Source organism: Homo sapiens, chromosome 1 (assembly GCF_000001405.40).
Source record: "Homo sapiens chromosome 1, GRCh38.p14 Primary Assembly".
Taxonomy (NCBI): domain Eukaryota; kingdom Metazoa; phylum Chordata; class Mammalia; order Primates; family Hominidae; genus Homo; species Homo sapiens.
In genome coordinates this window covers 235,323,039-235,349,023 of record NC_000001.11, presented here as the reverse complement: position 1 = coordinate 235,349,023, position 25,985 = coordinate 235,323,039, and the positions used below count along the sequence as shown (strand labels likewise).

At 42.8% G+C, this 25,985-nt stretch overlaps 2 protein-coding genes across 14 annotated transcripts in view, besides 9 other annotated features; one reads left to right on the top strand and one right to left on the bottom strand.

Annotated features, from left to right (window-relative positions):
• Positions 1 to 4,491: 4,491 nt before the first annotated feature.
• GGPS1 (geranylgeranyl diphosphate synthase 1) lies at positions 4,492 to 21,808 on the bottom strand. 5 transcript variants are annotated; one of them, NM_001371477.1, is made up of 4 exons: positions 21,526 to 21,808; positions 13,690 to 13,782; positions 7,246 to 7,316; positions 4,492 to 7,013 (listed from the first exon to the last, which is right to left on the bottom strand). In NM_001371477.1, exons 2-4 carry the CDS (start codon positions 13,757 to 13,759, stop codon positions 6,252 to 6,254), a joined length of 903 nt encoding a protein of 300 aa, NP_001358406.1. In that variant the 5' UTR covers positions 13,760 to 13,782; positions 21,526 to 21,808; the 3' UTR covers positions 4,492 to 6,251. The 5 variants fall into 5 exon arrangements, with proteins under 5 accessions (NP_001358406.1, NP_001032354.1, NP_004828.1 ...); NM_001037277.1 differs by lacking the exon at positions 21,526 to 21,808 and adding an exon at positions 20,526 to 20,586; NM_004837.4 differs by lacking the exon at positions 21,526 to 21,808 and adding an exon at positions 20,246 to 20,454.
• Positions 19,655 to 19,804: an enhancer, noted in NCBI's record as "active region_2800". NCBI's record gives its function as "activates an Ori minimal core promoter by ATAC-STARR-seq in GM12878 lymphoblastoid cells {active_cell/tissue: GM12878}" and the evidence as "EXISTENCE:reporter gene assay evidence [ECO:0000049][PMID:35858748]".
• Positions 20,305 to 20,394: an enhancer, noted in NCBI's record as "active region_2799". NCBI's record gives its function as "activates an Ori minimal core promoter by ATAC-STARR-seq in GM12878 lymphoblastoid cells {active_cell/tissue: GM12878}" and the evidence as "EXISTENCE:reporter gene assay evidence [ECO:0000049][PMID:35858748]".
• Positions 20,635 to 20,694: an enhancer, noted in NCBI's record as "active region_2798". NCBI's record gives its function as "activates an Ori minimal core promoter by ATAC-STARR-seq in GM12878 lymphoblastoid cells {active_cell/tissue: GM12878}" and the evidence as "EXISTENCE:reporter gene assay evidence [ECO:0000049][PMID:35858748]".
• The window catches only part of ARID4B (AT-rich interaction domain 4B), a 161,278-nt gene continuing 156,137 nt past the window's right edge, over positions 20,845 to 25,985 (top strand). For 5 of the 9 annotated variants that reach the window (NR_135074.2, NM_031371.4, XM_006711781.4 and 2 more), the window contains exons 1-2: positions 20,845 to 21,255; positions 22,056 to 22,110. Coding sequence is in view for 8 of the 9 variants with exons in the window: in NM_031371.4 (NP_112739.2) it covers positions 22,105 to 22,110 (6 nt within the window). In the remaining variant the exon portion in view is untranslated. Of the gene's footprint in view, positions 21,256 to 21,536; positions 21,865 to 22,055; positions 22,111 to 25,985 lie in introns of those variants that run through there. The other 4 variants (XM_024447626.2, XM_047422531.1, XM_011544212.4 and 1 more) reach the window with 2 other exon arrangements.
• Positions 21,175 to 21,224: a silencer, noted in NCBI's record as "silent region_1987". NCBI's record gives its function as "represses an Ori minimal core promoter by ATAC-STARR-seq in GM12878 lymphoblastoid cells {active_cell/tissue: GM12878}" and the evidence as "EXISTENCE:reporter gene assay evidence [ECO:0000049][PMID:35858748]".
• Positions 21,395 to 21,624: a silencer, noted in NCBI's record as "silent region_1986". NCBI's record gives its function as "represses an Ori minimal core promoter by ATAC-STARR-seq in GM12878 lymphoblastoid cells {active_cell/tissue: GM12878}" and the evidence as "EXISTENCE:reporter gene assay evidence [ECO:0000049][PMID:35858748]".
• Positions 21,395 to 21,956: a biological region, named in NCBI's record as "NANOG-H3K27ac-H3K4me1 hESC enhancer GRCh37_chr1:235490383-235490908".
• Positions 21,431 to 21,956: an enhancer, noted in NCBI's record as "NANOG-H3K27ac-H3K4me1 hESC enhancer chr1:235490383-235490908 (GRCh37/hg19 assembly coordinates)". NCBI's record gives its function as "activates a minimal SCP1, AML or CMV promoter by ChIP-STARR-seq in naive H9 embryonic stem cells {active_cell/tissue: H9 hESC(naive)}" and the evidence as "EXISTENCE:reporter gene assay evidence [ECO:0000049][PMID:30033119]".
• Positions 21,635 to 21,724: a silencer, noted in NCBI's record as "silent region_1985". NCBI's record gives its function as "represses an Ori minimal core promoter by ATAC-STARR-seq in GM12878 lymphoblastoid cells {active_cell/tissue: GM12878}" and the evidence as "EXISTENCE:reporter gene assay evidence [ECO:0000049][PMID:35858748]".
• Positions 21,975 to 22,164: an enhancer, noted in NCBI's record as "active region_2797". NCBI's record gives its function as "activates an Ori minimal core promoter by ATAC-STARR-seq in GM12878 lymphoblastoid cells {active_cell/tissue: GM12878}" and the evidence as "EXISTENCE:reporter gene assay evidence [ECO:0000049][PMID:35858748]".

Genomic DNA, 25,985 nt, shown 5'->3' with positions numbered 1-25,985 from the left:
CCGGCTTATATGCTACATTTTATTTTGAGTCACTCTTTTTTTTTTGAGACGGAGTCTTGCTCTCTTGCCCAGCTAGAGTGCAGTGGTGCAATCTTGGCTCAGTGCCACCTCTGCCTCCTGGGTTCACGCGATTCTTCTGCCTCAGCCTCCTGAGTAGCTGGGACTACAGGCACGCACCACTATGCCCGGCTAATTTTTGTATTTTTAGTAGAGATGGGGTTTCACCATGTTGGTTAGGCTGGTCTCGAACTCCTGACCTCCAGATCCGCCCGCCTCGGCCTCCCAAAGTGCTGGGATTACAGGCATGAGCCACCATGCCCGGCTGGTTCAATTTCAATTCACGGAGTTTTTCAAACCTTAACTAAGTTTCAGGGTTCAATAAACAATAACTAAGTTTCAGGGTTAAACTTAAAAAATTATTATACTTTCACTTTTGTTATCAAACCATAAATGCATTTTCATAAAAACTTATTAGAAAATCTATTAAGAGGCTGGGCACAGTGGCTCACGCCTGTAATCCCAGCACTTTGGGAGGCCGAGGTGGGCAAATCACCTGTGGTCGGGAGTTGCAGACCAGCCTGGCCCACATGGTGAAATCCTGTCTCTACTAAAAATACAAAAAAATTAGTCGGGCATGTTGGCACATGCCTGTAGTCTCCAGCTACTTGGGAGGCTGAGGCATGAGAATCGCTTGAACCCAGGAGGTGGAGGTTGCAGTCAGCCGAGATCATGCGACTGCACTCCAGCCTGGGTGACAGAGACTGTCTCAAAAAAAAAAAAAAAAAATTATTAGTCTGTTTAAATTGCTACTTTGTTTTGTTTCAAATGACAATTTTTGTTCAATAATCTGCTTCATTTTCAATTTCTTTAACTTAGTATGGCTAACTGACTAAATCTGTCAGCTTTAATACATAAACCATTTCTTTCTCATAAAGTATTGATATCTGTTAGAATATCATTTAAAACTAAATCTCCTGGCCAGGCCCAGTGGCTCATGCCTTTAATCCCAGCACTTGGGGAGGCCGAGGTGGGTGGATCACTTGAGGTCAGGAGTTCAAGACCAACCCGGCCAACATGGTGAAACTGTCTCTACTAAAAATACAAAAAATTAGCTGGGCATGGCGGTGAGCACCTGTAATTCCAGTTACTCAGGAGGTTGAGGTAGGAGAATAGCTTGCACCCAGGAGGTGGAGGTTGCAGTGAGCCGAGATCACACCACTGCACTCCAGCCTGGGCGACAGAGCAAGACTCCATCTCAAAAATAAAACAAAAATACTAAATCTCTTGAAAATGTTCTTAGTCTACAAATGTTTAACTATTCTCATTTTAGTTTTTCTTAAGTGACTTACAAGTTTTGGTGAGATTTACAAACTACTTTTACAGCTTACCGTTAGTACTACCTCACCCACTGAGGTCCAAATATCTTCCATTACTTATTATAGCAACTCTGAGATCTCTGAGTGTATATTTCTTTCTTTATGTACAGTGATAAATATAATTCAATAATAAATGGTCATTCTCCTAAAGCATACTTTGTAAAGAATATGTATGACAAGGCAGATGTTACCCAGATCTCTCTCATTAATCAATGGTCATTAAGCATTCTAACAATTAACTTGAACTATATACACTGAAATTTATATTACTAATATTATTGCTTATTACACTTATTCTTTACCAACCAGTACAAAGTCTAGTAATACTGTAAGGTCCAAATATTCAGTAAGATAAATATTATAAGATTAATGAAATGACTACAGTGAGTCTTCAGTTAACCAAATGTGGGTATGGGGAGCCAAATGCCAACTGCATTATATTTAAATTCACATTATTGTAGGTTCCATTATCATGAGCCTTTTCCTGTAGTTTTTTGTTTTTTTTTGAGATGGAGTCTCACTGTGTTCCCAGGCTGGAGTGCAGTGGCGTGATCTCAGCTCACTGCAACCTCCACCTCCTGGGTTCAAGCGGTTCTCCTGCCTTAGCCTCGCGAGTAAGTGGGATTACAGGCGTGTGCCACCACGCCTGGCTAATTTGTCTATTTTTAGTAGAGACGCGGTTTCACCATGCTGGCCAGGCTGGTCCTTGAACCCCTGACCTCGGCCTCCCAAAGTGCTGGGACTGTATTTCAAATAGTGAATATCAGCCACTACGACATAATTGTGATACAGATGGAATAGTAGGGAGAGATTATAGAAAGGAAGCTATTATTAGAATAAATCAGTGCTTTTCTTTTTTTTTTTTTGGAGATGGGAGTCTCCCTCTGTCACCCAGACTGGAGTGCAGTAACGAGATGTCGACTCCCGGGTTCATGCCATTCTTCTGCCTTAGCCTCCCGAGTAGCTGGGACTACAGGCACCCGCCACCACACCCAGCTAATTTTTTGTAGTTTTAGTAGAGATGGGGTTTCACCGTGTTAGCCAGGATGTCTCGATCTGCTGACCTCGTGATCCACCTGCCTCGACCTCCCAAAGTGCTGGGATTACAGGTGTGAGCCACCGCGCCCGGCCTAACCAGTGCTTTTCAAATTTTTAAACACATTCAAGTGTGCATAGAGAATTAAAGGCAGCACGTACAGAAGGAGTCAGGTACTTTTTTCTTTTTTTTTGAGATGGAGTTTTGCTCTTGTTGTCCAGGCTGGAGTGCAGTGGTGCGATCTTGGCTCATTGCAACCTATGCCTCCCGGGTTCAAGCAAATCTCCTGCCTCAGCCCCCCAAGTAGCTAGGATTACAGGCGTGTGCCACCACGCCCGGCTAATGTTGTATTTTCTTAGCAGTGATGGGATTTCACCATGTTGGTCAGGCCAGTCTTGAACTCCTGACTTCAAGTGATCCACCCACCTTGGCCTCCCAAAGTGCTGGGATTACAGGCATGAGCCTCTGCGCCCAGCAGAGCCAGGTACTTTGATCTGTATTCAAGGCCCTGGCATTCCTCAGTAAATGCTTGAGGAAAACATGTAAAGTATCTAGTACCCGGTAAGATACTTCATAAGTATGTATTTCCTTGCCCTCTTTCTTCCTCTCAGTACACTGATTAAAAAAGAATCAATGGATAGATCTTGAGATTATCTAGATGAGAGATATCTAGAAGGGAAGATGGAATGGGACAAGGCCCTCAATAGACAGGGGGAAATTCAAGCACATGAGAACCTAGGGCAGGTCAAACTCTTCTTGAAAATAGCAGACTATGTAAAGACAGACCTAAAGTAGAGGGAAGGAAAGTTAGGAGAGTTTCTATTTAGTGGGAGAAGAGAGGAAGAAGAGAAGAAGGGGATCTTTAATAAGACATCTCTGACACCGGGCGTGGTGGCTCACGCCTGTAATCCCAGCATTTTGGGAGGCAGAGGCGGGAGGATTACCTGAGGTCAGGAGTTTGAGACTAGCCTGGCCAACATGGTGAAACCCCGTCTCTACTAAAAATACAAAAATTAGCTGAGCGTGGTGGCACATGCCTGTAATCTGAGCTACTCGGGAGGCTGACGCAGGAGAATTGCCTGAGCCCAGGAGGCGGAGGTTGCAGTGAGCTGAGATCGTGCCACTGCACCCCAGCCTGCCAGACAGAGCGAGACTCTGTCTCAAACCAAAACAAAACAAATAGAAATCTCTGCTAGGAAAGATTAGATGGAAAATAAAGGCGTTGCAGAGGCTGGAATGTGTAAACTCACAATGGTTCCAACAGCAGTTGTGAAAATGTTCCCCAGCAGCACTGAGCAACACGGATGCACAAAGAACGTGGATGTTTGGATTTATCCAGGACTGGGAGTTGGCAAGATAAGAATGGGCAAGGAAAGGAGAAAAGTGATCTGAGAGTGAATGCTCTTTAAGTGTCATTGAAGTGAGTGACTATAGAGTACAGGTGAGGTAGAGAAGGAAGTAAAGTAGAAAGAAGTTCACAGAGTGAACAGAGAACAGTTGATGGTTTTAAGATCTTGCCAAGTTCAGAAGGTGGTTTATGGCAACATAACTGGCATTCATTTTTCTGTGTTAATAGCTATGACTACAGATCAAGTGAAGAGTTTTGATTATTCTACAGGTAAAATGACTGTTAAAAGTCCCCAATTTGGCTGGGTGCGGTGGCTCATGCCTGTAATCCCAGTACTTTGGGAGGCCGAGGCAGCTGGATCACCTGAGGTCAGAAGTTCAACACCAGCCTGGCCAACATGGTGAAACCCCATCTCTACTTAAAAAAAAAAAAAAAAAAAAAATTAGCCAGGCAACATGGCAGGCATCTGTAATCCCAGCTACTTAGGAGGCTGAGGCAGGAGAATCGCTTGAACCCGGGAGGTGGAGGTTGCAGTGAGCTGAGATCACGCCATTGCACTCCAGCCTGGGCAACAAGAGTGAAACTCCGTCTCAAAAAAAAAAAAAAAAATTCCCAATTCAATGACAAACATTTCTGTTATTGACAAAGGCAAGATAAAATTAACAAATGAATAATGAAGAACACCAGGCCAAAATTAATTTGATAGGCAAGGAACAAATCTACTTAAGCAATTTTTATACTTAAAGGTAGACATTTTAATTTGTTTCTATAGTCAGTGTTAGATTTTTAAAAATGCTTTTTAAAAGTATGGGTTCATAAAGTTCAACTTTCCATACTATAACATCAATAGCCATGATTTTAACAGGTTTCCTTATCACTATTAAAATGGGAGATTTAAACTATTTTAAAAGTTACTAAAGACAGCACCCAACTTTTCAAAGATTTAGGTTGAATGCTTGGGTGAGGATTTCTCATACAAATATATGGTAAATAGATCCTAAGTAACATACTATAGAACCAAGCAAAACATGTTTCTAAGGGAAACATAAAACTTTCATTTTGGGATGTCAACAAATCAAATATTGAAATCAGCTTTTTTTTTTTTTTTTTTTGTCCTACCTCTTGGGCCACAGATGACTTCAGTGGCTTGGGTGTAGAAACTACAGAAAACTGGTAACCAGGTCAGGGTTAAGGCACTAAAAAGCTAATTAGTGTTTGATATTAAGCCTTTGGTTACTTTTCAGTCAGGCCCTCTCAGGCTAACACTTTCCTTTAATCAGGGCGATTAAAGATGCCTACTCACTTTCCATTCAAGCACCTACTGTCTTCAAGTCGGGGTGGTGATGTGGGCGGGAAGGAAAAGCGCATTTTTCCATGCTTTTGTACTTAAGGTAAGAAAACAACCCTTTTAAGATTGTCACTATCAATGATGGGGAAATATAATAAGGTTCAAAGGCTCCCTTCTAAAATATCCCATACTCTCTTTTTCCGCTTCCCAATTGGAAAGGGAATGCTGTACCCATATACTAACCAGTTTGGGGCACATAAATGTTACAAGGGAGAAAAAAAGATTTAGACTAGCATGTGAATTTCATCAAGCAGAGACACCTTGGTTAAAAAGCAAAACTTGTGGGGTGGAGAGGAAGGAAAAAAGGAAAACCTAAGAAAAAGGACCGGAGTGCTCACTGTTTATCATTATCAGCCCTTTTTTTTGAGACGGAGTCTCGCTCTGTCACCCAGGCTGGAGTGCAGAGGCACTATCTCGGCTCACTGCAAGCTCCGCCTCCTGGGTTCACACCATTCTCCTGCCTCAGCCTCCCGAGTAGCTGGGACTACAGGCGCCCACCACCACGCCCAGCTAATTTTTTGTATTTTTAGTAGAGACAGGGTTTCACCGTGTCAGGATGGTCTCGATCTCCTGACCTCGTGATCTGCCCGCCTCGGCCTCCCAAAGTGCTGGGATTACAGGCGTGAGCCACCGCGCCCAGCCCATTATCAGCCTTTTCATAGAAGACTTCAGTGAGGGTGTTTCCGGGGGGAAAAGTGAGATATTCCTTACAGCAGCGTTTAGGAAAAAAAGAGATTTGTGGTCTTTGGTCCAGCTAGCTAATAGAAACTGGCTTGGAACTGCCCAGATAGTACAGTTAGAAAGTGTATGGATAAAAATTCCTGGAAGCAAGTCTTTTTTATTGACGGAATAAACACAACATTGATGGTAGTAGGATAGAGTTGGTGGCAATGTCCTGTCACTGCAATTATGACATTCAAATCAGACCTACATAACTGTGGCTGCTTTTGATTCTTTCAACTTTGAATTTTGATTATCTGTACAGAGGGGCTTCTAAATGAAAACGAATTCACTTGCACCACCCCTACTCACCTATTTACTGTTTCTGGAGAATAACAAATTTTTTAAAAGGTGGTAAGGCTAAAAGACAAAAAAAAGATTAACTAAAATAAGCTATGAGGTCCAATCAAGAATGGCTTAACATTATTCATTTTCTTCTTTGAACATCTTACTTAAGTGTTTTACTAAGGCTACTAGCTCAGGGTTCCCACCACGTGCATCAATCTGTTTATAGGCTTTAGCTTCAAGCTCTTTAAGGGTATTACGAGTGTATTCAAAAGAACCTACATCCTCAAGATAATGTACACAGTATTTTTTTATATCTATGTTTTCTGTTCTCTGGCGCAAGATATTCTGCACCTGGGTGCTTTCAGGCCTTGACCAAATAGCATGAATAGTAGGAAATGAGAACTTTCCCTCTGTCAGATCTTCACAAAAACTTTTGTTTTCACTATATTCTTTGGAGTGTAGATTAGCATAATCATCCCTAATTTGGAAAAAGAGCCCAAGTGTATTAAGTAGCGGTTTTAAATCTTCTTTGTAATCAGAGAACAACTGCATGAGACCTACTGCTAATCCAAACAGTCCACCTGTTTTCTGCAGCACCATAGCTTTATATTCTTCTTCAGTGGGACAAGTGTAATTATCCCTCCAGTAAATATCTAGGCCTTGTCCCTGATGGAGTTCCAAAAGCTGGCGGGTAAAAAGCTTCACTGCATCTGGGTGATCAAGGGTTAAGACTTTCTCCAAGCCAAGGAAATACACGTAATTGGCAGAATTGATGACAGATGGGATTCCATAGATGCTGTGGGCCACTGGAAAGCCACGTCGGAGTTTTGAGTTGTCTTCAATATCATCGATGAGTAAACTGGCATTATGCAACATTTCTGTCACTTCAATAATAATCTAATAAAAAAATTGAAAATTTCACTTATTTGAACTATTCAAAACTTACTCAGTTTAATTAACAGATTATGAAAGTCTCAGGTGTGTTAATTTTCACAACTAATAAATATTTAGCAACCTCAATATAAAATAATATCTTGCATGAGGACTAAATTCAATCAAGAACTAGGAATATTTTTATGCGACAGCTATTAATTTCTTGGGGATTAATGAGGTTAGAGTTGCCTAATACCTGTAGCTTGTCCTCTGGAACTTTCAGCCAATGATTAAATGCCTGTGAAAGTTTGGTTCTCACTTGTTTACCTGCAATTTAAAAATAAAATGTGACAATGTGATAAGTGTTTTAATTATGAGTATTTTAACTACAAAAAACACATTCAGAAACTTCCTTTAGATTGATCAGACTTGCTAAATCCAGCCTCATCAATCCATTACCTACTGCAGAGCTTGCCTTGCACTGCTCAATAACTCATTCTCAACCACTCAGAAATCTGGATCATAAAGTGCACAACCTTCTAAAATTAGGGCAGGCACGGGAGACTCTAAAGCACTTCAGTTGCCTACTAGTCCACTCTTTTCATCTGAACTTGAATAAACAATTTTAAAGTAGGATGGGCTTTTAGGACTTAGGACCTAATTTATTTCTTTTTTTGAAAAGGAAGCTAGTTTATTTATTAATTATTTGAGACAGAGTTTTGCTCTGTTGCCCAGGCTGGAGTGCAGTGGCGTGATCTCGGCTCACTGCAAACTCCACCTCCTGGGTTCACATGATTCTCGTGCCTCAGCCTCCTGAGTATCTGGGACTACAGGCACACACCATGCCTGGCTAATTTTTGTATATTTTATAGAAAGGGGGTTTTAATATGTTGCCCAGGCTGGCCTTGAATTCCTGAGCCCAAGCGATACACCCGCATCGGCCTCCCAAAGTGTTTGGATTACAGGCGTGAGCCACTGCGCCAGGCCAAGAAGCTAGTTTAGTGTCAGTTAATTGGCACTACCTATTTTACATAACTATAGGTACTGTTAATAAAATATATTTTACTATTACCTCATAAAAATACCTCTTGAAATTATCTATTTCTCCTTTGAATTAAGGTTTTAGAGATGGGGAAGCTCTGCTTCTTTCCTTTCAAAAATGAGATCATCATGCACTGAAGTATTCCCTTTTAATATCCTGAGTTTAGTCAAAAGCTAATCTCATTATTTTGACTAGGGACATCTATTTTTCAGTATCTTCTTTTTTTCTTTCTTGTTTTTTTTTTTTTTTTTTTTTTTGAGACGGAGTCTCGCTCTGTCGCCCAGGCTGGAGTGCAGTGGCGCGATCTCGGCTCACTGCAAGCTCCGCCTCCCGGGTTCACGCCATTCTCCTGCCTCAGCCTCCCGAGTAGCTGGGACTACAGGCGCCCGCTACCACGCCCGGCTCATTTTTTGTATTTTTAGTAGAGACGGGGTTTCACCGTGTTAGCCAGGATGGTCTCGATCTCCTGACCTCGTGATCCGCCCGCCTCGGCCTCCCAAAGTGCTGGGATTACAGGCGTGAGCCACTGCGCTTCTTGCTTTTTTTTTTGAGACAGGGTCTCACTCTGTCACCCAGGCTGGAGTGCAGTGGTGTGTTCACAGCTCACTGCAGCCTCCACCTCAGCCTCCCGAGTAGCTGGCACTATAGGTGCAAGCGACCACGCCCGGTTAATTTTTGTTTTTGTAGAGACAGTGTGTTCCCATGTTGCCCAAGCTGGTCTCAAACTCCTGGGCTCAAGCAATCCGGCCGCTACAGCCTCCCAAATTGCTGAAATTACAGACGTTGAGTCACTTCACCCAACAGTATCATCTTTTTCTTACACGGAAAGCTCAAGATAGGTCTTTTTGTTTTTTGTTTTTGAGACGGAGTCTCATTCTGTTGCCCAGGCTGGATTGCAGCGGCGTGATCTCGGCTCACTTGCAACCTCCGCCTCCCAAGATCAAGCTATTCTCCTGCCTCAGCCTCCTGAGTAGCTGGGATTACACGCATGTGCCACCATGCGTGGCTAATTTAAGATAGGTCTTTGGATAGAAGTTACCACTAGAAGTCATTGTAGTCACATACAAAGGAATGATAGATAAAAACCATGGCCAGTTCACTTAGTAAAAATGTTCTATAAGTTTTCTGCTAAATGAATGCATGGTAATAACATCCTAATTTTAGATAAGGTTTCAGGAAAATGGTTACATAAAAAGTTAAAACTAAAATACTGTTTTCTTTTTTTTTTTTTGGAGATGGAATTTCGCTCTTGTCACCCAGGCTAGAGTGCAATGGTGTGATCTCGGCTCACTGCAACCTCCGCCCCCTGGGTTCAAGCGATTCTCCTGCCTCAGCCTCCCAAGTAGCTGGGATTACAGGCACCTGCCACCACACCTGGCTAATTTTTGTAATTTTAGTAGAGACAGGGTTTCACTATGTTGGCCAGGCTGGTGTCAAACTCCTGACCTCAGGTAATTCACCTGTGTTGGCCTCCCAAAATGCTGGGATTATGGGTTTTTTTGTTTGTTTGTTTGTTTGTGGAGATGAAGTTTTGCTCTGTCACCTAGGCTGGAAAGCAATGGCACGATCTTGGCTCGGCTCACCACAACCTTCGCCTCCTGGGTTCAAGGGATTCTCCTGTCTCAGCCTCCCGAGTAGCTGGGATTACAGGTGTGCGTCACTACGCCTAGCTAATTTTTTGTATTTTTTTTCTGAGATCGAGTTTTGCTCTTGTTGCCCAGGCTGGGGTACAGTGTCACGATCTTGGCTCACTGCAACCTCCACCTCCTAGGTTCAAGCGATTCTCCTGCCTCAGCCTCCTGAGTAGCTGGGATTACAGTCGTGCGCCACTAAATCCAGCTAATTTTTTGTATTTTTAGTAGAGACGGTTTCATCATGTTGGCCAGGCTGGTCTTGAATTCCTGACCTCAGGTGATCCACCCACCTCAGCCTCCCAAAGTGTAGGGATTACATGCGTGAGCTACCGCGCCCGGCCAATTTTTTGTACTTTTAATAGAGACAGGGTTTCCCCATGTTGGCCAGGCTGGTCTCGAACTCCTGACCTCAAGTCGTCCACATGCTTTGGCCTCTCGAAGTGCTGGGATTACAGGTGTGACCCACCACGCCCGGCCTATTATTATTATTTTTGAGACAGGGTCTCGCTCTGTCACCCAGGCTGGAGTGCAGTGGCACAATCACGGCCTACTGCAGCCTTGACCTCCTAGGCTCAAGTCCCCTGAGTAGCTGGGACTACAAGAACAAGCCACCATGCCTGGCTAATTTTATTTTTATTTATTTATTTTTTGTAGAGGCAGGGTTTCGCCCTGTTGCCCAGGCTGGTCTCAAACCCCTGGGCTCAAAAGCAATCTGTCCCACTTGGCCTCCCAAAGTGCTGGGATAATAAGTCAGCCACTGCACTTGGCCTGTATCACTTAAACACATTTTTTTGAAGATGAAAAACAGAGTCTCAATGTGAAATTTCATTTTTCATTTTACTTTTGAATGTTATATAGAAAACAGTACAATATATGGCTTATTTTTGAGGTACTACAGTTTTAATATTTTTTTCCCCTCTGATGACATGCTAGTGTTTAGCCTGATGCTTTTAAGTTTCCCCCCCTTTTTTTTTTCTGAGACGGGGTCTCCCTTAATCACCCAGGCTGGGGTGCAGTGGTGTGATCTTGGCTTACTGCAGCCTCAACCTCCCAGGCTCCGGTAATCATCCCACCTCAGTCCCCCAGGTAAGCTGGGACTACAAGGGCGTATCACATGCCTGGCTAATTTTTTGTATTTTTAGTAGAGACAGGGTTTTGCCATGTTGCCCAGGCTGGTCTTGAACTCCTGGGCTTAAGCCATCTGCCCACTTCGGTCTCCCAAAGTGCTGGGAGTACAGATGTGAGCCACCGCGCCTGGCTGAGTTCCAAAATAATTTCTAGTACTGAGGCTAATCACAGAGATCTCTCAAAATTAAAAGATTACTGCTTCCTCTTTAAGATCTAAACATTATTGTCTCTCTTTTTGGAGCCCTTCTTCCTCCACTGCCAGCTTCATCTCTCCCTAATCCCACCCTTCACCTCATCTAGGGCCCCACACTAAGGCAAATAAACAAACATAAACATAAGATGACAGCAAGTATGAGAAATTTAAAAATAAAAATAATTTTCTTTACTAATTTCAGAAAATCCTTTTTTTTTTTTGAGACAGTGTCTCACTCTGTTGCCCAGGCTGGAGTGCAGTGGCGTGATCTCGGCTCACTGCAACCTCTGCCTCCTAGGCTCCTGTGACTCCCGTGCCTCAGCTGGGACTACAGGCATGCGCTACCATACTTGGCTAATATTTGTATTTTTAGTAGATACAGGGTTTCACCATGTTGGCCAGGTTGACTTCAGAAAATACTGATAGCATTATTATTATTTATTAGCAAGAGTAATATTACAACAGTATAAATGACCTGGCACACCTCTAAGTTACTTTAGTAACTCTGAAGCTCTCTGTAAAAAAATAAGTGTGTTATGTGCATAGTGCAATGTCATATTTCTTTAGTAGTATCTTTTGAGGTTGTATTCCATCATGGATCAAGAACGTACTTGAATAAAAAGGTGAGGTACCTAGTGATAATTTTAAATATGTTATCTAATGTCTTAAAACATTATTTCCAAGTAATGAGAATTAAAAAAAAGGAAGTCACAGAAGGTGGTCACAGCATAAGTAAGCATTATGGTTAAAATGTAACTGTAGGCAGTCCTTGCTTTGTAAGTAGCAGAGTAAGAGACATTCAAGCGATGCTTGTTAGACTTTTGTCAGCACTGATAACTGGCTTGCTATTAATGCCAGCCCAGTTCCAGCTAGTGTTTGTGAGCGTGTTCTAAAGGATGTCTGGCAGTAAGAGCTGGGTAGAGTGAAAGTGAAACTGTGCCATGTTTCTCACTGGGAGATACTGAAATAAGTTACTAACTGCTGGATAAATGTCACTCAAAAGCAGTCTCTTGGCTTTTTCTTAAACAGTGGGCAACCTTCCCTTTGAATTCTCCATTTCTGTCATTCCCTCATTCTTCTCATGCATTGACATTAGCAGGCGAGTCTCTATTAGGGTCGGCCAAAATAAAAATGACACTAATTATGGTTTCCAAGGTGTAGCACAGGAGCAAGCATTCTTTTGGCTTTTATCCTTCCCAGGCTCATGAAGAACAGAAATGCACATATTACCACAGAGAAGTGCTCATAAAGAAAGGTGTGTACTTTAGCACGGAAATTTAAAAGTGTCTATTGAGACTGAATTGAGAGCATCATTAGAGTTTAGTCACAGTATGGCTAAATAGGTTTTTATGCTTGTCAAATAATTTACCAACTTTTATATTATTTCTTCTTTTTTAAAAAATGTTTAAAACAGAGAGGGGGACTTGTTATGTTGCCCAAGGTGGTCTCAAACTTTTGGTCTCAAGCAATCCTGCCTTGGCTTCCCAAAGTGCTGGGAATACAGGTGTGGGCCACCACACCTGGCCTATATTATGTCTATGAGAAAGAATATTCTAATACAAATGATTTTTTATTACAATAACCCCTGTTTATTATATTCATGAGTTTTTGCTTATTATCATTTCCAGACAAGTTCTTCTTTTTTTTTGAGTCGGAGTCTCATTCTGTTGCCAGGCTGGAGTGCAGTGATGCAATCTCAGCTCACTGCAACCTCTGCCTTCCAGGTTCAGGTGATTCTCCTGCCTCAGCCTCCCGAGTAGCTGGGACTACAGGCATGCGCCACCATGCCCAGCTAACTTTTGTGTTTTTAGTAGAGACGGGGTTTTACCATGTTGGCCAGGCTGGTCTCAACCTCTTGACCTCATGATCCGCCCGCCTTGGCCTCAAAAAGTGCTGGGATTACAGGCGTGAGCCACCACGCCCAGCCTCCAGACAAGTTTTTAAAGAAGCAAAATAAAACAAAAACACACACGTACACGTGAGGTAGGAAGCCATGTCCAAGGTGGCATACCCTTATACAGGAATAAAGTGGGCTATATTTCCAAATACTGTGATTTTAGATACATTATTATTTGGCTCTCAAAGGAACCAGTAGTATATGAAATGCAGTGTATGTGTGAGATACTGGAAAATACAGACATAGAAGGTAAACTTGAACATGTATGGTAAATAAAGTGTTCTACTGTTAAACAAATCTGCGTAACTTCCCCTAATATCTAAACAGTGGGGAATCTGAATGCGTAATATCCGTAAAGAGTACAACCTCCAATGAGATACCAAAATGTTTTAAGTATTTTTATTTTTCAAGATATGTTAAATAATTGGATATGTTTTAAAGGGTGCCTTCAAAAATTACGTTTCTTTTTAAGAGACGGGGTCTCACTATGTTGCCCAAGCTGGAGTGTAGTGGCTATTCACAGGTGTGATCATTGTGCACTATAGCCTTAAACTCCTGGGCTCAAGCCATCCTCCTGCCTCAGCCTCCCAAGTAGGTGGGACAACAGGTATGTATCACTGCACCTGGCAAAAATTACCTTTTAATAAAGAAAAAATTATAATGTTCTATTTATCATTTTTCTCATACGCATCACCTTAAATAGAAAATCTCAACGGCTAGCAAGTCTAACCTTTTCTATTTGCTAACATTTGAACGACCACTACTGCATGAAAATGACCCTATATGGACTGTAAGTGAAGTATTACCTGGTAACTGAAGTAAGTATTTATAGGGTTCTAGAAGAATTCTTTGGACTGTTTCTTGAGTCTTCTCCATTGGATTTAAACTTCAAAGCTAATCTGTCAAAAAGGAGAAACATAAAGATCACATGAAACTAATCATCTTTCAGTGTCAAACTGCAAAGGAATTTGTATTGCAGGGTGTTTGTGAAAAGACACCTAGTCTGGTTTAAAAAGAAGATTCTGTTGCTGGGCACGGTAGTTCACGCCTGTAATCCCAGCACTTTGGGAGGCTGAGGCGGGCGGATAGCTTAAGCCCAGGAGTTCGAGACCAGCCTGGGCAACATGGCAAAACCTTGTCTCTACTAAAAATATGAAAAATTAGCTGAGGTGGGTAGATCATGAGGTCAGGAGTTCGAGACCAGCCTTCACACCATCTCTACTAAAACTACAAAGATTAGCCGAGCATGGTGGTGTGTGCCTGTAGTTCTGGCTACTTGGGAGGCTGAGGCAGGAGAACTGCTTGAACCCGGGAGGCAGAGGTTGCAGTGAGCTGAGATCACACCACTGCACTCCAGCCTGGGCGAAAGAGTGACTCCAGTCTCAAAAAAACAAAGCAAGATTCTACAGCTATGAAGCCTTGAAAACATGTTAAGTGAAAGAAGCCAATCTCAAGAGACTACATATTGTATGATTCCATTTATACGAAATGTTCAGAATAAGCCAATCTACAGAGAAAGAAAGTAGATTAGTGGTTAGGAACAGGGACTAATTGCTAATGAGTACAGGGTTTCTTTTCGCAGGGATCAAAATGTTATAAAATTAAATTGTGATGGTTGCACAGCCCTGTGAATACACTAAAAACTGCTGAAATGTACACTTTAAATGGGTGGTATGTAAATTATATCTCAATTAGAAAATTCTTCATTCAAGTGATTATATTGGTCAAAGTGTTGTCTTGGTTTTTAAGTTGTTTTCTTAGTCACATAACTTATATTAAGCTTTTCCTATTTTAATCAACCACAAAAGGCTTAATTTGTTGACGGCAAATGTCAAAACACATCCAAAGAATTGGAAAGATACCTCTGTATTTAACTGATTACACTAATTAGTAAACATATCCTTTTTTAAATGAGCACTAAGATGAGTATGTTTTATGTATTTAAAATTTAAAGGGATTCTCCTCGTCCCCCTAGTAGTTTCTCTACAATCAATCCATTTCAGAGATTTCTGATTTAAAATACGCATTAACTCAAATGCATATATTTATTAAACATATTCCCCTTTATACTGAAATCTGTCTTATTTCAGTATTTCCTAGAATAACACTCATGGTCTTCCTAGGGTCTCCCTGTACTGTTGAATCTCTACTTTATTTCTTTGTATCTGTTTCTATTATTACTTGTCCTCATATTAGGAATCTAACTGCTCTAGCATCTTTGGCACATTTTGGGAAGTTTATTACTTTTATCCTCTTTCTTTTGCTTCTTGGGACTATGATTTAGTCTTTAGAATCCTGAGCCCACTTCTAACCAACTTTTCTACAACAAAAAGGCTAAATGTAATATGGCATCTAATGGCAGTTTGTGGTTAGGGCTGTTCAATGAGTTGCACATCATTGGATTTTGGAATTGGAAACCACTTTAGAAAGTTATCTCAGTATGCCAGAAGATAAAGCACAAGAATATATTTGCTTGAGTGAGGGCCACTTTCTTTTGAATGAAGAAAATGAAGTTCAGTTCATGTACTTTGTGTTATTCTGATTGCTCAAAGGTCCTTTTGTTTTTTTTTTTTGAGACGGAGTTTTGCTCGTTGCCCAGGCTGGAGTGCAGTGGCGCAATCTTGGCTCACTGCAACCTCCACCTCCCGGGTTCAAGTGATTCCCCTGCCTCAGCCTCCCGAATAGCAGGGATTACAGGTTCTTGCCACCACGCCCAGCTAATTTTTTGAATTTTTAGTAGAGATGGGGTTTCACTATGTTGGCCAGGCTGGTCTCAAAACTCCTGACCTCAGGCGATCCACCCGCCTCAGCCTCCCAAAGTGTTGGAATTGCAGGTGTTAGCTACTGTGCCCGGCCTGATCCTTTTTTTCTAAGTCTGGGCCAGAGACTTAGAAATCTTCAATTTAAATATGCATCTTGTATGATTCTGATACAGCTGCTTGAGAATGTTAGGGGAACTGGAAATAGGTTGCTTACATGGTATCACACCACATCACAACTAAGGGGGTGTGGGCTACTGTTATTTATTGTAACAGTGAGGATGTGTTCCTTTTTTTTTTTTTTTTTTTTTTTTGAGACGGAGTCTCACTCTGTCGCCCAGGCTGGAGTGCAGTGGCACGATCTCGGCTCACTGCAACCTCTGCCTCCTGGGCTCAAGCAATTCTCCTGACTCAGCCTTCTGAGTAGCTGGGACTACAGGTGCCCACCACCACGCCCAGCTAATTTTTGTATTTTAGTAGAGACGGGGTTTCACCAGTGTTCCTCGATTTCTAAATCAGCCCTAGTAACTTCATAATGTTAAGTAATAAAAGTCATCTTCTATAGCCCAGTCACCTGATACTATGATCTGATCATTGATACTCTCAGGGGTAAGGCAATTCTAGTACTGTAACTTCTTGCTGGCATTAAATTTAAAAATGTAAAATATACTTAGGAGCAGAATCTGACTTTTGTGGATTTATATTATAAATTAATCCACCAAAGACAAGACTTTTGCACATATTTCAGTAAATAAACACACTGATTCATATACATGCAGCCAAGCAAATCCAAAGATCCTGAGTAAATACCAACAACGTGCCACAAAAGTAAAATTTCCAAAATCTTGCACTATGTGTTTATTACAGCACTATTCACAATAGTAAAGATATGGAATCAACCTAAGTGTCCATCAGCAGATGACTGAATAAAGAAAATGTGGTATATATACAACGAATGATTACTCAGCCATTAAAACAAAATGAAATCATGTCATTTGCAGCAAAATGGATGGATAGCCCTTACCTTAAGTGTAACAAGTCAGACATAAAAGACAAATAGTACATCTTCTCAATTATAAATGGGAGCTAGATAATGTGTATACATGGACATGGAGTGTGGAATGATAGACAATGGAGATTCCAAAGGGTGAGAAGGTGGGAAGGAGGTGGATGATGAAAGATTACTTAATGGGTACAACGTGATTACATGGGTGATGGACCCCCTAAAAGTCCTGACTTCACTACAATGCAATCTATGCATGTGATAAAACTACACTTGCACCCCATAAATTTATACAAGTAAGAATAAACAAATAAAAAACCCTCCAAACCAAAATCTAATTATTAGTGCTAGCATTCCACTTTTCCAGCACAATTACGAGTGTAGAAGTGCTGAGACTACCCAATTTGGTGACAATCAGGTATTTAATGTTCCTGTTTTGTAGCAGTCAATGAATACAAGGGTAAAATGGTTTGAACCACATTGTCTCTGTCATGCAGTTGTTTTTCTGCTGTGAAATGAGACGTATAATATGGCAACAGGAGAAAAGAATAAAACTTCTACATATGTATGCACTGTTAGGCAGTTGGTAAGCACATGATAATGGGTGGCTGAAATAATAACACACACATATAACCATCAACTGTGCAAGTGCTTTGATGCTTCCCCATACTGTAAACCATCTCATGGGTCACAGAAACCTTTTGAGAATATGATGAAAGCTATGAATCTTCTAAAAAAAAAAAAAAAAGCCCGGTGTATGTGTTAATAAGTTGCAACACAAATGTATACACTGCCACAAAGACTTACAACATACAAATTCTCAGAGATCATATAGTCCCTGAATGTTTACACGTACCTCAGATTAAGATTCCCAGCTATGGAATATCTTTACCCTTTAATGCCAAGCAGACAAATATTCGTGTTTGTGTTATAACAAGCTAAGACATAAATTCCACTAGCTTAACTCTTTATTGAAGGCAGATTACAAATGAAAATTAAAGCACAAAACTAGTGTATAGTTCAGGTTACTCTTCAGGATTGAAAGGCATATTTTTTTGTAGTCTGTTCTTATCTATATGAAACAATCATAAAAAAGATCAGCACTCCACCAAAAGAAATCATTTTAACAACATGAATTCAAAGAGAAACATCCCATATGGAAAATTTCTACATCCATCTTGACTAACAATTAATACCAAAGACGTCGCAAGGAAAAAAAGGCTCATAAAGAATCAAGTAAGCGAAATAATCAACATACCTATTAGGCAAAAACCTATTTAGTTAGGTAACCTATTATGCAAATACCTATTTAGGTAACCTATTACCTATACTATTTGATCTCTGACACGTGACCTTATTATCAGGGATTGAAGTAAGAAAAGAAGATGCAAAACAGGAAGAATAATGGCTTAGCTAAAAGATTATTATCGAACATCATTAAAAGTAGAATTAAAAAAGGATCTCATATACTTCTCTATTTAAATGTTAGTATCTATCTTTTCTCAACTACAAGTTGGGAGCAAGAATCACGTTTGTATATTTTCTCACAGCCTCCAAAACACATTTGACCGAACTTAAAAATCAATGAGATGCACTTTCAGAATTCCCTTTTGTGTCAGGACCTGTAACAGGTGTACCCTGTTGCACAGAAATCAGAGCTAATCTTTGTTTCAATTCGTAGAGCTTTGTGGTTGATGTTATTTTTCAACTTAAAACACTAATTATGCTTTAAAAAATATTTCCTTTCCTCACTTAGAGATGTTTAAGAATACTCACTTAAGTCAATTTCCTGTCCCAGAGGATATTTACATACAAGCATTTTCAGTGGTATGAAAACATAAGAACTTCAATTTTTCCAGGTATCGACAACCAACTTGCCTTGTGTCTTTCTTCTGAAACAGCGTCTCACTCTGTCGCCCAGGCTGGAGTGCAGTGGCGTGATCTCGTCTCACTGCAAACTCCGCCTCCCGGGTTCACGCCATTCTCCTGCCTCAGCCTCCCGAGTAGCTGGGACTACAGGCGCCCGCCACCTTGCCCGGCTAATTTTTTTGTATTTTTAGTAGAGACGGGCTTTCACCGTGTTAGCCAGGATGGTCTCGATCTCCTGACCTCGTGATCCGCCCGCCTCGGCCTCCCAAAGTGCTGGGATTACAAGCGTGAGCCACCACGCCCAGCCGCCTTGTGTCTTCTTAAGAGTCTAAAGGATTCTACACACCGTGGCATATACTCTCACCCTCACCCGCCTTTGTTTTTCTTTTAAATCAAAGGATTTCCCAATTTATCACAGCTGGAAATTTCAGCTATCACATACTAAAGTTAAATGTAAAGAGGCATTAGTGTGTGTTACATGAACTCTACTAGTTTCCTTTTAGAGTGAAAAAACTACAGAATACCTCAGTGAGAGTCTGAAACTTCTCACTTTCAAAACTAAAAAGCTGCCAGAAATTTGTTCAAAGAGTGAATCCATAATCATTAATACAAACGCTCCATTCTTTTCACCATGTGAACTACTACGGCAATAGCCTCCTCGTCGGGTTCCCTGCATTTGCCTCTTTAACTCTTCTTTTTTTCGCTTCCTCTACTCTTCAGCCAGGGATGACATTCCAATCGGAGCCATCTCTCCCTTTTGATTGAGATTCCTTGGAAGATATCCCATTGCTATTAGGAGAAAACCAAAACTCCTTTACAAAGCCTAAAAGGTTCGACACTCCCCCTCATCCCATCTCTCCAGGCTCAGTTCTTCATATTGGAAAAGCTCCCTTCCGCCACAGGGCTTTCTGACAAGTTAGTCTTTTTGTCTGGAATGTCTTTTCCTTTTCTCTTTCCTTAGTTAACTCCTGCTAGCCCTTCAGCTCTCAGCTCGATCCTCACTTGCTCAGAAACCCTTCCTTTCCCTCCCTAAAGAAGCCAAATTCCCTCATTCTCCTATCACCGTGGAACTCTCCTCTGGGGCACTGCCACTGCGGTAATTTCACATCGTTTTGTTCAGCATCTGTCCGTCTCACCAGGCGCAGGTCTACGAAGGCAGAGGCCACCCCAGTGGTCGGCGCTCAACACCCATGAAGAAATGAAAGCGCCTTCTAACGCGTTAGACGATGAAACCAGGGCACACAACCTTGCGTCTAAGAAGTGAACATCCCATGCAAAAGACTTTTCAAAGGGAAGGGCCTGGTTTGAGAATGGCCAGAGACATACAAATGTGAAGCGCATACTGAATCCTTCCATTCATACTCCGGGAGAAAGACGATGGATCTGAAAGAAGCCGCCTGATATAAACAGGGAATTTCAATCACTTCGAGGCCGATTTTCCACAGCGGCTGGGCAGAGAACTGCAAACGTATACAGTGCTAGCACAGAGTCCGGAGGGGAAGAAACGGTGAGGTTTCTGCTTCCTCCTCGCTCAGATGCTCCCTTCCGCCCCACTTGGCCAACCCTTCCTCTCCCTCCTCGCTTAAAGCTAGGGGATGGAAAATTCATACACAATCCGGTTCAGCATCCGGGTCCTCACTCTCCTTTCTTTCTTTCCTCTGCCCCGCCTCCCAGCCTCCCCCGCCCTTCTTCCCATCCGGGTTCCCCCCAGCCGCCGCCACTGCCGCTCACAGTTCAACGATGATATCACGACTTTCACGCCGCCGGTCCGGGAGTAACTGTACCCCGCATCAACTTCCTATTTTATAATGTGGACTTAGGCTCTTCCCGATGCCTACATGAATCCTTCCCACTATTTCACCACAGAACTCTCCGCCCTCCTCAGCCGCCAGCGACACCGCATTAGTTGGTGCAAGAAAATGCGCCATCCCGGTCACACTGCGCAGGCGTCGTTGCCGCCTCCCTACTGCTTTGTTGCCCCGCCCCTTTCACCTCCCCCCCGCCCCCGCACCGGTCCACGCAGGCGCAGGGCATTGCGGGCCTTGCAGTTCTCGCGGACGAGGATTTGCGCGTTGGCCCCAGAGTATGGACTTTATTTCCCAGAAAGCCTTGAGGCGTAACTTTCTGTTTCCATAGAACTGGTGGGAAAATGGCGTCGTTGTTTGTATCCAGGGACCAATAGGAACAGTGTATAGGCGGGTTCTAAAGAACTTTAACCAATCCAAGGTCGTCTAAGAGGCCATCCGGGAAAGAGGTAGGGGAGGGGGGGAAAAAAAATCTAGGGGAGGGGAGAAAGGGGGGGAACCTAGAGTCGGTGGGGGGGAAGCGATGTTTGCCCGTCAGTCGAGTCCGGAGTGAGGAGCTCGGTCGCCGAAGCGGAGGGAGACTCTTGAGCTTCATCTTGCCGCCGCCACGGCCACCGCCTGGACCTTTGCCCGGAGGGAGCTGCAGAGGGTCCATCGCCGCCGTCCTCTGGAGGGCAGCGCGATTGGGGGCCCGGACCTCCAGTCCGGGGGGGATTTTTCGTCGTCCCCCTCCCCCCAACCAGGGAGCCCGAGCGGCCGCCAAACAAAGGTACCAGTCGCCGCCGCGGGAGGAGGAGGAGCCGGAGCCTCTGCCTCAGCAGCCGCTGGACCCGCCGCCCTTCTTCCCCATCTCTCCCCCGGGCCTGCTGGTTTTGGGGGGGAGAAGGAGAGAGGGGACTCTGGACGTGCCAGGGTCAGATCTCGCCTCCGAGGAAGGTAGGGATATTTTCTGGGGCTTTCGTGGTCTCCTAAGGGGGTTCTTTTGGGAGTCGCTGGGCCCGGCCAAGGAGCAGAGGAAGATCGCGGTGGTGGTCCCTGCGGCGCCCGAATTCGGGGCCTCGGCCTCCCGGGAACCCCCACCCCCCGCAGCCGCTGTGTCCGAGCCGCCCCCTGGCTGGGCGGCCGCACACTCAGCGGTTTAGCGGCCGCGGTCGGGGGCCCGGGCAGGGTGGGGGCCGTTCCGCCTCCGGGGCCCTCGGCCCTCACGTTGTCCCCGCGGCGGGGCCAGATGTTGATCTCGCTCCCACTTGTCGGGTCTGAGCCCGGAACGGGACGTGGGCAGGGGCTCTGTGGCGGGCCGGTCCTGCCCGCGGCCCACAGGCCCTCCTGGCCCCTCGGTGGCCCCCGGCCGGCCTCTCGCTCGGACGCGGCGCGTGGGGGCGCGGATTCGCTCGGCCGGGCGCCGAGGCCCTAGGGGAGAGCGGCCGGCCCTGCGCCGGACGCCGGGCTTGTTGTGAGTTTCTTCTCTGACAGAAATGGCGTCATTGTCGTAGACGGGAAACTCCGTCGGGTCTCGACAATGGGGACGGGAAGCTGCCGAGCTGTGTAGGTGGTTGGGTTTGCGGGGATGGCGGGGCCGGAGGGAGCCCCGAGTCGGCGTGTGATGGTTCGGGGGCTGGCGCCTGGTTGCGGCTCTTTCTTCGGGGTTCGGACGTCGCTCGCTTCTTTCCCTCCGCCTCCGCCAGTGCAGAGGGGCTCCTGTGGTGTTGACTGGGTGTCTTTTGTTTCCCCTCCAGGTGCAGCTGAACCTGGTGTTTTAGAGGATACCTTGGTCCCAGAGTCATCATGAAGGTAAGATTGCCTGCGGAAAACGAATCTCTGGGGTTATCGAATTCAGGAAGTAGGAGGTTTCGACGAGGTCGTCGTGTGGGGCTTCCGAGTTTTGCAGAGGAAGGTGTGTTTGGTGACTTGGTGACCGAGCCCTTCCCCAGAGAGACCGGGGTCAGCTGGCGGGCTTTGCTGTGGAGTTGGAGGCAGTTATAGGATGTCTCAACTGAAGATGATTCTCCCATATTGAACATCTCTTTTTGTAGGGAATGAGAGGAATAACGGCATGAATTAAAGTGTTTTAAAAGGTAAAATAAAAAGCAAGTCAGGTAATCTGACCCTAGAAACTGAACTGTATTGTGGTTCTATCAGTTACACTGATGAAAGAGAATCTTATTTATTGTGTGAACAGTACTGTAAAATTTTAGCAGAAAACTCTTTGACTCGTCACAAAAATAATTTAATTGAAAGATTTAAAAAGAGAATTTTTGTGATTTTTTACACAATTCAGAGATACCAGTTGTTTCTTGTATTTCCAGTGACTTGGGGTTATATGGTTTATTTTTCTTTATTGATCTGGTTGGTCTGTAAATAAGTCAGAGGCTCTGTTGCATTATGATGTGTGGAAAACTGATGGCCAGGTTCCTCTTAGATGTCAATATGTTAACTGAGTGGAGAATAGGGTCAAAAAATTTGCTTAATTGTTGGAAGAAATGATAACGATAAAAATACAGGTATTTTTGTTACTTGAGAGAATATGTATATGAATGCTGTCTTTTTTTTTTTTAAACACATGCTAGAATAAAACCTTAGATTTTTGAAAAGTCTGGATTCAACTGGTGGAACTTAGACACTAGCTTGTATTTTTTCATCCATTACAAATTCAGAAGTGCTTGAAAAGGGTAGAGTGTTCACAAGTGTAGAAATGCAACAGATAGCATGTTAGAATATCAACGTTGTCTACTTTTGACAGTTCCTTTGAACTATTTAAAAAAATATTTCACTTGTCCTCAGAATCAAGACTGCTTTGACAATTTTGCATCCAAATTAAAATTTGTAATACTTGTGGTTGTAGAAGGTAAAAGCTGTGGCTACTTAAATCTTGGTCTACTATACAGAGTAATTAAGTTTAGTCTAATTTTTTTAAGGTTTTCTCTTTGAGTTTGGGATGCTGTAAACTACCTGAAACAGTTTATTCCTATCTCATTTCATGAAGCATAGACATGTTTCAGGAATGAATCCCTTTTGTTAGTCACAAATCCTAGCTATAACTCTCATCACCTGTGTAAAACAGTGGTGAAAGTGCATTTATTAGGTAACTCGTATATGTACCTTGATGTTGGGTGAGAATTTCTTAAGAAAAGTTTTGGTTTGAGTAAGAAATAATAAGTTCAGAAGCCGAATAAATAAAAGGTTTAGTTTGGAGTAAATGTAATGTGTCACATTTCCCAGTGTTGTAGTGCTTGTCACTTCTTAGGTGCTCTATAAATGTTTGGTTAAAAGAAATGTAGTTAAGTTGAAAGTCTGAGATTAAAATGTTTTTTTTCTTCCTTTCGTTTCCTTTTTTTTTTTAAGTAGTCTGTTTAAAAAAATGAAAGTATGTTGGAAACTTTAGCCTTAAAAGTTTCTTGGTAATACTAGCCAAATGCAAATTTTTTGGTATCTTTTTAGAAATACTAATTTTAAGTGCTCAGCATTACATTCTACTGCATTTTTTAAAAAGGTGCTTTTAACGTTAAAAGGAAAAAGTTACTAAAATAAATTTCTAACTTCATACAAGTACTTCCTGTTATTATAAGTATAGCAAATCTCAGAGAATTTGCTAGTAATTATTAGTACTAAAAACTTAGCTTATTTCTTACAACTTTATTTCTTATGTGATAAAAGATGAGAAGCTTCTTGTAATTTGTATTTTGCTTTAGCAAAAATTGCAATTCAGAATCTATTTAATGTTGAGTGTATTAGGCCTAAATTTTGTTTCTTTTTCTGTGTGTTCCCAATTTCTTTCGTTCTTTTTTATTTTTCTTTTTGATATAGAGTCTCACTATTTCACCCTGGCTGGCACGATCTGTAACTGCTGCCTCCTGGGCTCAAATAATCCTCCCACCTCAGCCTCCTGAGTAGCTGGGACTACAGGCACACCTGGCTAATTTTTGTAGTTTTTGTAGAGATGAGGTTTTGCCGTGTTGCCCAGGCTGGTGTCGAACTTCTGGGCTCAGGTGACTCTCCCGCCTTAGCCTCCCAAAGTGCTGGGATTACAGGCGAGAGTCACCGTGCCTGGTGTAATTTCTGTATTACGATGATCATTGAGCTACAGAAGGTTTTATGCCATTTATTGGATCTTACCAAACATATTTGTACTTGGGAGCAAGCTTTTAAGTTTGAATTGTCTGTTGTATTAACGACAACAAATCTTTAAATTTTATTAAGTGACAGTTTATTGAGGTGATTGAAAGTTAGATTATGTAGTAATACTTTTTAGGTGTTGTTTTAAAGTTGAAGTGTTGTATGTTTTAGCAGTTTTCCCATGTACTACCTTTAAGAATTTATGTAAACAAATACATTCCCATTACTGTCTAATATATGCTATGTTACTTTTTTCACAGTATGTTTTTGAGGAATATGATTCGTAATACATAAGGAATTTGTGCTGTAACATAGATCGTGATGTTGGTGTTATGTTGAATTTATTTTTCATGCTCTTGATAGACTTTTAAAAATCAGTGGTGCCGGCTGGGCATGGTGGCTCACGCCTGTAATCACAGCACTTTGGGAGGCCGAGGTAGGAGGATCACCTGAGGTCAAGGGAGTTTGAGACCAGCCTGGCCAGCGTAGTAAAACCCTGTCTCTTCTAAAAATACAAAATTAGCTGGGCATGGTGGCACACACCTGTAATCCCAGCTATTCGGAAGGCTGAGGCAGGAGAACTGCTTGAACCCAGGAGGCGGAGGTTGCAGTGAGCTGAGGTTGCGCCACTGAACTCCAGCCTCGGCGAAAAAAGTGAAACTCTCTCTCTCAAAAAAAAAAAAACTAAATAAAATAAAATAAAAATCAGCAGTACCACATTATAAGGAGGTGGTAGATTATTAAAGTTTGTAAATAATTCCAAGACTTATTTTTATTATGTCAGGTTGATTTTTACTTTTTTTTTTTAAGACGGACTTTTGCTCTTGTTGCCCAGGCCGGAGTGCAGTGGTGCGATCTCGGCTCACTGCAACCTCTGCCTCCCAGGTTCAAGCAGTTCTCCTGCCTCAGCCTCCTGAGTAACTGGAATTATAGGCATGCACCATCATGCCGGGCTAATTTTGTGCTTTTAGTAGAGACAAGGTTTCTCCATATTGGTCAGGCTGGTCTCGAACTCCTGACCTCAGGTGATCTGCCCGCCTCGGCCTCCCAAAGTGCTGGGATTACAGGCGTGAGCCACTGCGCCCGGCCGATTTTTACTTTTTTTAAACTCAAACTTTTTTTTCCTGTATCTATATTGTACATGTTATTAACGTCTTTTATTACGTAGCAGTAAATTTTCAATTAAAATGGGCTGGTTGGGCTGGATATACCAGAATCTTTAGAGGAGGAATGATTTAGATGATTATACTTTGGCGGGCATGGTGGCTCATGCTTGTAATCCCAGTACTTTGGGAGGCTGAGGTGGGTGGATTACTTGAGGTTGGGAGTTCAAGACCAGCCTGGCCAAAGTGATGAAAACCCCGTCTCTACTAAAAGTATAAAAAAATTAGCTGGGCATGGTGGCGCATGCCTGTATTCCCAGCTACTCAGGAGACTGAGGTAGGATCGCTTGAACCTAGGAGGTGGAGGTTGCAGTGAGTCGAGATGGCACCACTGCACTCCAGCTTGGGTGACAGGGAGACCCCATTTCAGGAAAAAAAAAAAAAAAAAGG